This window comes from Homo sapiens, chromosome 12 (genome assembly GCF_000001405.40).
Source record: "Homo sapiens chromosome 12, GRCh38.p14 Primary Assembly".
NCBI lineage: Eukaryota > Metazoa > Chordata > Mammalia > Primates > Hominidae > Homo > Homo sapiens.
The window spans coordinates 71,415,160-71,429,004 of NC_000012.12; the positions used below are offsets into that span (position 1 = coordinate 71,415,160).

Genomic DNA, 13,845 nt, shown 5'->3' on the forward strand with positions numbered 1-13,845 from the left:
TCAAGATAATTGAAACATATGTCTACCTAAAAACTTAAACACTAATGTTTATAGCAGCATTATTCATAATAGCCTAAAAGCAGAAACCTCATTGCCCATCAAATAATGAATAGATTAACAAAATGTGGTATGTCCATATAATTGAATACTATTTGTCAATAAAAACTAATGAAATACTGATCCACAACACGAATAAACCTTAGAAACAGTATGCTAAGTGAAATAGGCAGACACAAATAAACATACATTGTATGAACCCATTTATCAAATGAGTCCAAATTAGTTAAGTCTATGGAGACAGAAAGTAATTTAGTGGTTTCCAGGAGCTAGTGGCAGAGGAGGTAGGGTAAAAGAAAGAGAGCTGTAGCCAATGGATAGAAGATTTCTTTTGGGGCGATGAAAAATGTTCTAAAATTAGATTATGGTGATGGTTGTGCAACTCTGTAAACACAGTAAAAACTAATTGTACACTTTAAACAAGTGAATCTTATTGTATATAAAGTATATATCAATAAGACTGTTAAAAATTGCTTTAAAAACAGCATGTTTGCTTCCTACCTTGACCAAGAGGAGACTAGCAACAACAGCAAAGGTGTTTCATCCCTATCTTTAGCAACATTTGCACTTTTCGTCAGCCCTCTGCTAAACGCATCATTCACTACCAGCAGAGGGAGCTAAAATGATAGTGTTAACCAATCTCTGCTCCCAATCACGCATCCTGTGAAGACAGTAAAAGACTATTTTCAAATTTAAAGAAAATTAGGGACAGTTGAGTTTGTCCCTACTTATTTCTACTTATCAAAAGGATTGAAAAGTTGATGTGACTATTCGTCTCTTTAAAACAAGTTCATATTGATCTACTTATACATCACAGCTTCTTGATTGCACAATATTCTCCATAAGAATATCTAGATATAATGTGATAGAATTCGACATTTGACCAAATCCTTTTGTTCTCTTTCCTTATCACTTGCTTTTTAGACAGTCAATAAAATGCAGCAAAACAAAAAATTTACATCCTCCCATGAAACCTAATCATTACATACATGCATCTCCCAGCTTTACCCCTGCTCCAGGATCAACCAATTTGTAATGTCATTACAGTGCTTAGGATATTACTGCAAAATAAACATTGGCTATTTTTGTTATATCCCAGGTTGATAAAACAGCTTATGAAAGGGCATTCATTTATTCTAGAAATGTTATTGAATGTCTTTTATGTTACCAGGCAGTGGTGAAAAAAAGCAGATATAGAAAGTGCCCTTGTGTGACTTACATTTATATGGGGAGGGGTCTTGATATAGAATAAACATACGAATAAAATGGAACACCAAATTGTAATAAACACTTTGAAGGAAAGGCAGAAAATAATTAGAGAAATTATAACAGGGGCTGGGGGGACCTAATTTAGATTGGGTGGTCAGGGAAGGTCTTTGAGGAGGAAGCACTTACCCCTAAGAATGGAGAAGATAATATTCTAGGCAGGGGAAATAGTATTCCGTGAGCCTTGAGGAAGGAAAAGACTAAAGGAACTTCAAGAAAGCCTGGGGCCTGTGATGAAAAATGGTACTGGCTGAGGTTGAAGAGTAGGGAGAGGGCCAGACCAGGTCAGACCCTGTAGGCCATGTTAAGGGATTGATATTCTATATTAAATGTAATGTGGAGCCACTGAAGAATTTTGAACCCATACGTGGGTTATCATTGTTGCATGTCTAATAAACCATTCTGGCCCTAGAGTAGAAGCTTGATCAAAGAGGCTCAAAAGTAAATGTGAAAAGGGCATGCTAATGTAAGGAAATCAACAATTTTTTGTGAATTGAATGTGAGATTCAGGAGGGTTGGGAAATTGTGGAAGTCATTCTAGAAAATCAATGACACAGTCCCCAGCCTATTTCAGGGCAGGCTCCAGAATTCATGGCACAGTCTGTGTTCATTCCATTTCCCTGCTAACACCACTCCTAGCTACATCCTCAAAAAAGGATCAGCAACTATGAAGAGCATAGCCAAGCAACAGTAATTCTGCTTTTCCCTCTCTCAGGTTATGTAGAATCAATCCTAAAAAAGAAAAATAATAACAAACTACTCGCATGCTTCCCTGAGAAAACACGCCTAATTTAAAAATATATACGTGCTTTCCTAAAACTGTGGGCCCCTGTTGCTCCAGCTGTTAGAGTTACAATGGTGCATCAAATGAGGGTAATCAATTTAACACAGATGAGTAAAGATATAATATTTCAAGCTGAGCATTGGAATTAACTAAATTTACATGCATGTTGTAGTGGAAAAAGCAGGGAATGTAATTTCAGAGGACATGGGGTCAATCCTTACTCAACCACTTACAAGCTCTGTGACTTCAGGCAATTTACTCAACTTCTTTAAACCTCCAGGTCCCTGTGTGTAAAATGTAGATAATAATAATGTCCACCACACAGAAAGGTTATGAACATGAAATGAGTATGTTAAATGTTCAATGGCTTTTCGATGTAATTATTTTAAGAATATACTTCCAAAAATGTAATCAAGTTCCTCAAAATAAATTTCTATTAAAAATAGAAATCATTCTAGAAAATAGCATTTTCCTTAATAACATTTAACTTGATTGAACATATTAATCTAATTTAATAAATTGAAATATGTTAGGTAGTTCTCTGCATCAAAAAAGTACCATACAAACAACTATAAAGGAACTAGTTATAACTTTTCATTATTGTAGAAGTGCTAGATATCAGGAAAATAAAGGGACATGAAATAAATGGAATGTAAAAAATACCACCTTAGGTTCTAAAGAATGAGACTACTTATTTCCAAAGGCATATCAATATACCCTGGAAACAAAATAATCATTCAGTGTAAAAGCATTATGAAAATATTTCCAGTATCTCAGTTCCATCACTTACTCATTATGTGACTTTACACACTTAAAAGTCTATAAACGTCAACTTCCTCATTTATGAAATGGAGATAATTGAACCTAATTCATAGGTTGATTGTGAAAAGTCAAATAAAATTGTACTTGTAAAGCACTTTAACACAGTCCCTGACACAAGTAGGTACTGAATAAATGTCAGTTGTCATTGATATTATTGTTGTTGTCTCAATATCTGAAAGTATGTTCTAGGTTTTTTGCTTAGAGAATATTTTGGGGTGTTTATTTCAGATATTTTCAAATAGAATAAGTGAATTCATTCCAAGTAGACCCAGTCTCCATCACAATTAACCAAGTGTAGTGGCATGCACCTGTAGTCCCAGATACGTGGGAGGCTGAGTGGGAGGATCTCTTGAGCCCAGAAGGTTGAGGTTGCAGTGAGCCACGATCATGCCACTGCACTCCAGTCTGGGTGACAGAGCAAGACCTTGTCTCAAAAAAAAAAATTACTCTTTCTAAGGGTTATTAAAGACCTCCACAATGCTAAACCTTATAGACGTTCTCCCTCTTCATTTTAAATTAATTATGAGTATAGTTTACTATTGATCACTCCTTGTCGCTTGAGATAGTTTCTTTCATAGCTACCAGACACTGCTGTCTTCTAATTTTCCTCTACTCTTACTGGCCACTTCTCCCTAATCTTTGCTGGTAATGATTCTGTGCATCAGCCTCTGCAGTTGACCTTTTATAGGCTAGCTTTCAGAGCACTTCAGGTTCAGTACCTGGACCTCTTCCCTATTCTACCTCTACCCATCCCATTAGTGATCTCAACAAGTATTGTGGCTTTTAATACTATGTACATTCTGACAATTACCAAATTTTAATATCCATCCTAGAGTCCTCCTCTGAACACCAGACATATATATTCAATTACATATTGTTTGCATTCAGACATAATATACTCTCTAAATTAACACATTCAATTCCTGCCTCCTTTTCTTTTCTTCCAAACTTTTTCTTCCCACAGTCTTCCACATCTCAGTTAACGACAGCTTCATCCTTCCTGTTGATCACAACAAAAACCTTGAATTCTTCCTTGATTATTCCCTCCCTGTCACAAACTTCAAATCCAATTCATCAGCAAATTCTGTCCAATCTATTTTCAGGACATATCCCAAATCCAGCCCCTAATCCAGCCGCTGGTTTCACTTCCACCGTTATCACCCTAGTTCAAGCCACCACCTGGACTAAGATATCCTTGCCTTTTCCTCCACCCCTCTTCATAACTCATCTCTTCCCCACCCAACAGACAAAAACATTCCTTTAAGTATAAATTAGATTGCATCACTCTTCTGCTCAAACCCTCCAGTGACTCTCCATCACACTCAAAGTGAAATCCAAAGTCCTTGCAATAGCCAGTCAGAGACCATCCTGAAGTCCTCCTTCCTTTTCAGTGCACTCCAGCCACACTGGCCTCCAACTGCCCATCAGACATGACAGCCTGCTCCAGCCAGCTCAGGGTCTTTCTATTTGCTGTTTCTTCTGTCTGGAAAGCTCCTCCCCATGGATGCCTGCACAGCCCACTCTCTGATTTTCTTTAGGTCTTTTATCTGACATCACATCTTAGTGAGCCCTCCCCTGGCCATTCTACTTAAAACAGAAATTCACCCTCCCTGACCTCACACTTCTTACCTTCCCATCACTGCTTTTTTTAATTACCACCTGACATTCTATATATTTTAGATTTTAGAATATGTTATATTTTATTAATTTTATTCTATTTATTGTCTGCCTCTCTAGAATGTAAACTTACTCTAGAATGTAAAGGGCAGGGATTTTTATTTGTTTTTGTTTGCTTGCTATTCCTCCAGAACCAAGAGGATCTTGCCATAGCAGGCACTCAATAACTACTTGTTGAATAAGTGGCAATGACGAAGGAAAGCCAAAAATAGATGTTAATTGACCTCCTAAACATTGTTAAAGCCTTAAGCCTTCTGGCACTTAAGTAGTTCAATTTTAAACTTAAACAATATTTTAATGTGCCTGTGAAACAAAATCTAGTATAGCACACATAATAGTTGGTCCCAAGCCAGGTGCAGTGGCACCCACCTGTAGTCCCAGCTACTCAGAAGGCTGAGGTGGATCGCTTGAGCCGAGGAGTTTGAGTCCAGCCTGAGAAACATAGTGAGACCCAGTCTCTAAAAATTTTTTTAACAAAAATACTGGCCCAGATCCCATACTTGCTAAAGGTAAGCCAGGCACAGAGCAGTGAGAGGTGTGTGGGCAAGCGAACACAGGGTCTGGCCACTGCACACAGCCAGTCACACTGGCTGTTGCAGTGGGGCGGGCAGCTCCAGGCACCAGCACAGGTGCTGGCTCTGTGCAAGGCTGTGGCTGGAAGAGATGTACTGCACACATCCACTGCAGTCACTCGTGTCTGGATGGGTGGAACACCATGGCACCCAGAAGCTTGGAGATGCCAGGAACTGCAGAGCCCCAAAGAGGGTGTCACAGCTCTGGCTCAGGGAGCCCCTAGGTCTGGGTTCCCCAAAAGGCCATAGTTCTTCTGTTTTTCTCATCACCCACAATATGGCAAGAGGCATGTGGGGGTGTTTTTCAGGCCTGTTGTGTTATAGCTATTTCAGTCCTGTCATTCAGTAGGTCCTGAGTTCTTGTCCCATGTCCAGAAAGAACAAGGTACACAGACAACTGGAGGGCAAGGAAGGCAGAGAGGAGCATCACTGAGCAATGGAACAGCTCTCAGGACACCCACAGTGGGTAGCTCCTTTCCATAGGCAAGTCATCTTGACATCTATTCAAGTCTAGCTGAGTCTAGGGTTTTTATGGGCTCAGAAGGGAGGAAGTACATGCTGATTGGTCCATGGGTGGCCATGAGCAGGCCCAGAAGAACCAGCAGCCCAGCCCCAGGCTTCAGGCAGTCACTGGCTTGAAGGTGCAGTTTCACTAGGGACCCACCCTTTTCTGTCCAGATGTCTGCCTGCCCTCATTAACATGCTGTCCACCATGCCCAGGCTGCTCACAACAAGGGGCACCTGCAGGCCCATGCAGAGCAGTTCTCAGTTGCCCTGACATCCCTCCCTGAGCTCATTGTTGCCCAAATCTTCAAACGGGGGCCAAGGTGGCAGGGGGCTGGTGTGTCAGTGCCACCCAAGCATGTGCACACCTGGCTGGGTCATGACAGCACCCAGGCTCGGCTTCAACTTTGCCCAGAAATCAGAGCAGGCACCAGGAGTGGGGAGAGGCCACAGAGTGGGAGCAGGCACTTCCAAGCCTACAGGGGCAGGGGGGCTTCCCAGGCCCCTGAGAGTTCAGAGATGACCAGGTCCAGAGCTGCAGCTGGTTGCCTCAGATGTGCCCAGGAACGCAGGGCTCCCACCACTTTAACTTGTTAACGGGCAGGCTCCCACCTGTTCCCAGCCCCTGCCAGCTCTGTGGAGTGCACAGCCTCAGCCACACTGTCCCCTGCTGCAGCTGGCATCCCCACAGTGGCTGCTCCAAATGGGCCACCACTGCCATCAATTTCATATATGGACAAATCAACAGTATAAACAAAAATTAGAAATCCACGTTTGTGTTGTTACCAATTGAATGTCCACAGTGAATTGGCACTGGAGTGCTCACTCAAGAGGTTTTTTTTTTTTAACACTCTATGGAAAACATTGATTTTGCTCTGAAAAGTCTTCAACTTAATAAATATTTAAGGAAGTCGAGCTAATTAATATAGCAACCTGCCTATATGTTGGAGATGACACACACCTTCTATGACACTCAAAGCAGCCTTGAAATTGAGATGCCAAAACCCATGATGGGCCCCACCCCCATTTATCAATATGATCTCTTGATCCATTTTCTTTGCTTGCACAAGAATAAACCTCAACCAACAAGCTGTTGCCACAATTATACAACCTCACAAGTAAAGGAAAAATGGAGAGAAAAATGCCTAAAGAAAAAAGGCAGATAAAAAGTAAAACTGCATCCCACTAATTGAGAAAGATAATAATTTTATTAGTGTTCAGAATAACTTTATCTATCTATGAAAAGAAGAATTGCTAAACAAATAAGTAGAAAAAAAACCATTCTAAGGAATGTGGCTCATTTGTGCATGCCACTTTATTTTCTCATTGGTAAATTTTGTTTCCAAAAAAGATCATTCGTGAAACTTAGTACAGTTGGTAAATATATACTGTGTGTTTGTGTGCAAGTGTGTGTGTGTGTGTGTGTGTTATCAAGGCCTGCCACTCCCACTAGACCAAAAGCTCCAGGAGGTCAGGAACCATTTCTATTTTCCTAGTCAGTATATCTTCAGCATGAAACACAGTGCCTAGCCCAGAGTAAGTTCTCAATAAATATTTGGCCAATGAATAAATAAATGTCCCTTTTCTAGCACTCTCTGTGCCTAGCATAGTTTAAATCTGTAGTACTGGTCAATAGATTGTTAACGAATTGCATTAAGAGAATAGTCTTGAGGAAGGTGGTTTTAGAATTAGGAGTTTATTAATTAAACTACTGAAACAATAATTATAAGTCATTTGTAACTATTCCCTCAGGCATGTGCTTAATTTGACACTATGTTGTTACATGCCTGCTTCATACGAACATTGATATACCTTTCAACTGAGAAAATACCTGTAGTATTTGACACCATCTACCTGTCCTCCTGGCCACAGCCTTCCTGGGCTTCTTTCTAATACCCTTTTGTAACTACTCCTCTTTGGTCCTGCAAACTCCTCTTCCTGGTCTGTCCCCTTATTATTGATATTTCTCAGGTTGGTCTTCTTTCTCTCTTCTGTCAGGGAAGCAGCATAAAATAGGGTTTATCAACATGCGTTTAGAGTCAGCCTGCTTGAGGTTAAATCCCAAATTTAAAACTCTCTAGCTGTGTGATCTTAGGCCTCATTTTCCTCATGTATAAGATAGGGTATCTATAAAATGTAGATGTTAATAATACCTAACTCATGGGGTTGTGAGGATTAAATGAGCTAATACTTGTAAAGTTCTTCAAACAGTGCCTGATACATATTTAGTGCTCAATAAATGTTGGATATTTATCTATAACCTCTTCCTCTGATATTTCATCAGTTCTCACACTACATCCATCACCTCTTAATATCAATGTCAATCATGACCACTTCACTAACCAAAATTCCCAAGTGCAAGGACATCTATCCTTGCCCTCTCTCTAATGCACCTGAATACCCAGCTGAGTCCAAACCACTCAAACTCAACACACAAATCTCGACTCTTCTTCCCGAAATATCCTCATTTTTAATAGCACCACCTTTCTTCTAACCAGCCCACTTGGAAATTTTCATTATTGTATTCTTCTAGCTGGCATAGCCAGCTAGAAGCATGTGCTGAATCCGTAAGTATGTGCAAAATCAGTGGTTTCTTGGTCACTTTCTCCCTTCAATCAGTTCCAGACCCTGCTGCCAGAGGAATCCTTCTAAGACATAGTTTTAATCAAGTTTCCCATTTATCTACAAAGCATGTGAACTTAATGCAATCTTCTCCAAAAGCCCAAGAGTTAACCACATTGTATTAGTTAAAATTTTCAATGGATTCTAAGCTTTTCTGCCATCATCCTCTTGCTCACACTGTCCCCTGCTCCTAAATGTCTTTCTCCAATGTCAAATTGTTGCCAATCATTTAAGACCCATCTCGGATGCAGCCTGCTCCATAAAACCTTCCCTGATTCCATCAGTAGGATGTACTTCCCCTTGCCTCCAAACTCCTATAACTCTTTGAACCGTTCCTAATGAGTTTCTCATATGCTACACGTTAGTATGGTTATTTGCCTAAACTTTGAATCTTCCTTGCCAGATTGAGAAGTCACATAATGTATAGGACGGAGCCAAATTTACTATATATTTAGGAATGTCTTTCAAGTTCTCTGAGCCTCAATTTCCTCAAGTTCTCTGAGCATCAACTTCCTTATATATAGTATGGGGAGAATAAAAGCTCATGAAGACATAAAAACTGGTGTTTACAAAGACATTTGATGATAAGGGAAAATATTTTTCCCATTATAAGTGAAAAATTATCACAATTAGGTAAAAATATATAAGACACTAAAAAGATTGAAAGAAAACAGAAGAAAAATATTAACAGTAATTATCTTCGAGTGGTGGATTGCAGATGATTTTCATTTTGTTCTATGGTTGCTTGCTTTCCAATGTTTCTACAACTCACTTGTATTCCTCTTGTAACTGACCCATCAAACAAACATTTATAGAATACCTTCAGAGACTATACTATGATCTGATGATACAAAAAATAAGAAAAAGCCAGTTTATAAAAGGTTTTTATAAAAGGAAACATTTTAAAAATACTAGTGTGATATATGGCTCTCAGTAGCATCCAAAAAAAGGAAAAAAGACATTTCTGCCTCAAAATGCATCAAATTTCAGTCATAATGTGACTGGAAAAAGCTTAAGTAGAATAAAGAACCTAGGAAATCACCTGCCAAAAATATATGCCATCACAAGTTGTTAGGATACTGACACAGCTCCTGAGTTTTGGGTTTTTAGAGCCAAAACTGGTCTACCACTGGGAGAGAAAAACACGAATATAGAGACAATTGCATCAAGTCTGTGATCAAGAATTTATGTCTGGCTCAAATCCAAAAATCCGTGTCAAGAAAGATTTGAAGCTGCAAAGGTACATGTTATAGTCAGCACCCTTCATTATTTTAGAAACTCTTCTCAACTGCAAACTTGACATGTCCAAAGCTAGATTTATTGTCTTCTTTTCAAAGCCTGCTCTCCTTCCAGGTCTTAAAAACGTGGCTTGAGTCAAGTAGAGACCACACATTCAATGTTAACTGTGCCATTTATTGGCAGAGTGACTTTGGAAAGTTATTTGATTTCTCTGAGCCTTGTTTTCTCTTTACAAAAAGAGGATGATTATATTTATCCTACAGGGTTCTTGAGAGAAATAAATGGGGAAAAATGTATTTAAGGTACTTAGCATAGTACCTGGCAAAAATAAGGACTCAGAAATGGTAATTATTTTGCAGGAAATAGTCACAGCCTACCCAACCTCCCAGGCTAAAGGCAATGGAGACATTACAGCCATTCTGTGCCCTGTGTGTACCACAATCACCAAATCCTGCCAATTCTGCCCCTGAAATATCTCCAAATTCTAACACATGCCTCCTCTCATGTCTACTGTTACATATAGCATTATACATTATACATTATACATACATTATAGCATTTCTCACCTCTTGATCAAATCAGTAATACATCCTGACTCCTGCTTCTACCACTCATTTCTGACTTCTCCCACAGTTTCCCCATACTGACACCAGAGTTCTACTTTCTCAGAGATAAAATAAGACTATGCCACTCCCCTGCGTAAAGATGCCCTGGCCTCCTGTTGCACCCAGAACCAAGTCCAAGCTTAATAACACAGCATACAGCACCATGTTAACAACCCCTCTGCCTTAGCATATCTTTTCAGGTTCACCTTATGCCAGTCTCCCAAGACTCACACATGTTTACCCTAAGCTACAGCCATGCTAATTAATCATTATCTAAAAATTATATTTTGTCTCCATCCAACTCCTAGGAATGCACTACTATTCCTCGTCACTTAACAAACTCCTGCTGATCTTTCGGGAACTCACTCTAAACAACACCTTTTCTATGAAACCTTTCTCTGAAGCAGAGTTAGTTTCACCTCCTTCTTTCCCTAACAGCATATGTTTTCATCCTGGTTATTGTGCAACATTTTAATTATTTGTTTTCCATGTCTCTTCTCAACTCAGCAGTGAACTGTTTGAAAGCAGGTTCCATATGTATTTATTCCCACATTCCCAGTGCTTGGCATCTATTTGGATGGGCAATCAATGTCTTTGAATAAACGCATTCTGGTTAAGATTGGGAACTGAAGCTTCACTAAAACTGGAAACTGTGGCCTGTTAAATGTAACTCAGTAAGAATGTTTCACTAACAAATGTTCCCAACAGAGTTGGCCCCAAAATTTTGTGACATACTCTGCTTTCATGAAATCATGATAAATGTTCAAAGTACTCATATCATTAGGAAAGAAGAAAGGAAGCAAGGAAGGAAGAGAGGAAGGAGAAAGGATCTATTTGTGTGTTTCTGTCCTCCCATTTCTGTAGAGTTGTAAAGACTCTCTTAAGGGGAAAACCCCTAAGGAAAAGAATGAAAAGTCCCTTATTGCTGTTATATAGTAAGTGTTACTTCATGCGAAGCCCTTTAACACACATTAGCTTTCATTCTACTAACAGTTCTACAGACTTGGTGCAATTATCCTCATCTTGCAGATGAAGAAACTCAGAGATAAGTTTCTCCAAGTCTCATAGCTTATAAATGACTGAGTAGAGATTTGAATCCTGGCTTGTGGGAATCCAAAGGCTATATTGTGCTATTATGCCATACTCCCCTTCTACTAGGTGACTCAGCCAATGACCCTCACCCCATCCCACCCATTTCCAGCAATCCTGAGGGGAAAATAGGGAGAAAATATGAGTGAGAAAAGCAGAAAAGATATGAGCAAAACAAATAAAGCTTGGTAAGAAAACAAAAGGGATCATCTCTTTAAAAATGTATTCAGACTTTTTTAAAAACAGCAATGAGATTTATCTTGGCAAACTGCCCATCTAAAATCCAAGCAAAAAAATCAATGAAACTTAAAATCAAAATGTTATTTCTTATTAAAGAACAATGAAAGCAAGCAGGGTCATTTTGTTAATCCACAACCATAATAATACTCGACAAAAGGTTTCTGTAAATTTTAATTGCGGTAATCTGGACAGTGTTTTACTATGACTCATTGACTAGAGCCGCAGTGTTTATGCAATATGTTTTACCCTGCTTTATGAGATTGTAATTGCAGTGAAATGCTACTATACATACTCAATTAAAATACACCAGACTTATCAAAATACAACATTTTGGGAAATAGCATGTTTTTACTTATTTACTTTATAAATCCTGCATGTCCTTGGGATAAAATCCACAAAATTTATTCTTCTAGGTGAGCTTTATCATTCCATCTCCTTACTTTTACTATTTCTGCTCAACACTTCTGATTTTCTCTATTCTGAAATATGCTTACCCACTGTATTTATTCTCTAGCGTTTGAGAGAGTTAAGCCCTAACATATAGAATGCTTTATACTAGCCTTTTCACAAATGTTTGTCAAGAGTGGGAATACAGGGAGTTCTGCAAAGGGGACTGTGCCCTGTACCTGTACTCTGCAAAGGGGACTGTGCCCAGTAATGGCTGCTCATCTCATCTGAGCTGGCTACTTCCTTTCTTCTCTCTCTAGGTTTTCCTCTCAATGACACTTTCCACCTTTTCCTCATACAATGAGTTCTGTTGCTTTTCTGTCTTCTTTTTCTTCAAAAAATAGTTTATTGGATAGGTATTCCATGGTTGGGTGATGTTTACAGATCTACAGTTCCTTAGCCAAAAACATCAGGGTGACAGATGTTACAGAATTCGGAATTTTGGAGGATTTTAGAAATAGAATATATTAAGAGTGATATCCTATATATTACATAAAATCTTCAGTTGGGTTTGGGGAAATACCCTACAATCAAACACATCCATATTTCTGCAGCAACTTCAATGAATATTTACATGACATGAGAGAAAGCTTATAAATAGATTCACATCAGTTCAGTTTAAATGATGCCACCAAATATGTTTCAAAAAAACCTTCCCTTTTCAGAACTCTTAGGATTTCAAAACTGCAGATGAAGGATTTTGGGTCTATACATACTCTAGCTGCAGGACTTGGGGGAAGCAGCTTTGCAAAAAAGGAACCTGTTAGCACTTCATCATTTTGGAGCACAGCCCAAGTTTGTCTGTGCCCTGCCATTTAAGTACGAACACATGGACATGATAGATGGTTAAAAATCCTAAAAGTGAAGTTCTAACAAGACCAGAAAAAGATCCATCACATTGGGCATATGGAAGTATCCACGTCTGGAAATGAAGGTAATATTTGGCAGAATTAAATAAAGCACACAAATGAGCAGGAAGATCATGCAATTTCAAGTATTTTGTTATTTTTTTCTCATTAATTTTATTCCTGGTTTTAAAAGAAAACCTACCCCTAGTTTACATGTGAGTTTGATTGGGCATATGTTCTCAGGAAGCAGGCTGCATACCAGTAGGAGCATGTTCATTATCATACATGGAATTAGACAAGGGGATCAAACAGAGTTAAACAATTGATAATATCATATACCACTGTCCTTTCTTTTCGAACGTTGTGAACATGTGGATATATTTAAAGGTTTCCTTTATGTTGGATAAAATCAAGGACAGATCTGATTGATTTTACATAATAGGCTATTTCAAAGTAATGAATTAGCTGAACTAACGTTTTCTCGCAAAATAAATAATTCTGAAAGAAAATAGATCTTTATTCTTAAATCCCCCTCCTCCTTTCTCAATTAATTAGATTTTGTTGGTGAAAGGAAGTTAAGAAATTCCACATAAGCCTGATTATATCATGAATGTAAAATGAGCAGGGCAAATAATGGGCTCTATACTCTTTCAAACAAGTTAAATAAGTCCATAATAGCCCACCAGTTGTGTAAACACTATTTCACTATACTTGTAAAAGAAATATTGACTTACCTGTTAACTAAAATTACCCTGGCATGCTTCAACTAAGCTTATTAATAATTCCTGTGGTGTATGTGAATGTTTTTAGTTGTGGACTTTTATCAAAGATTAAAGAATTAGGAAAACATCCGTTCAGCAAGCCCAGAAAGTAGACACGTAGCAGAATACACTTCACCAGAGTCAATTTTAAGAACTTGCAATATAAGAGTCAAAAGAATAAAGAGTGGTTTCTATCCTGGCCAGAGATAGTCCGTTATACCACAGCTTAATAACACAGAAATACATTCCAAAATTATAAATAGGAACATCTCTCCCAAACAAAATACTAAATGAATATCACATTAGCCTACT

At 38.6% G+C, this 13,845-nt stretch overlaps 1 annotated feature.

Annotated features, from left to right (window-relative positions):
* Window positions 581–630: a silencer, noted in NCBI's record as "silent region_4657". NCBI's record gives its function as "represses an Ori minimal core promoter by ATAC-STARR-seq in GM12878 lymphoblastoid cells {active_cell/tissue: GM12878}" and the evidence as "EXISTENCE:reporter gene assay evidence [ECO:0000049][PMID:35858748]".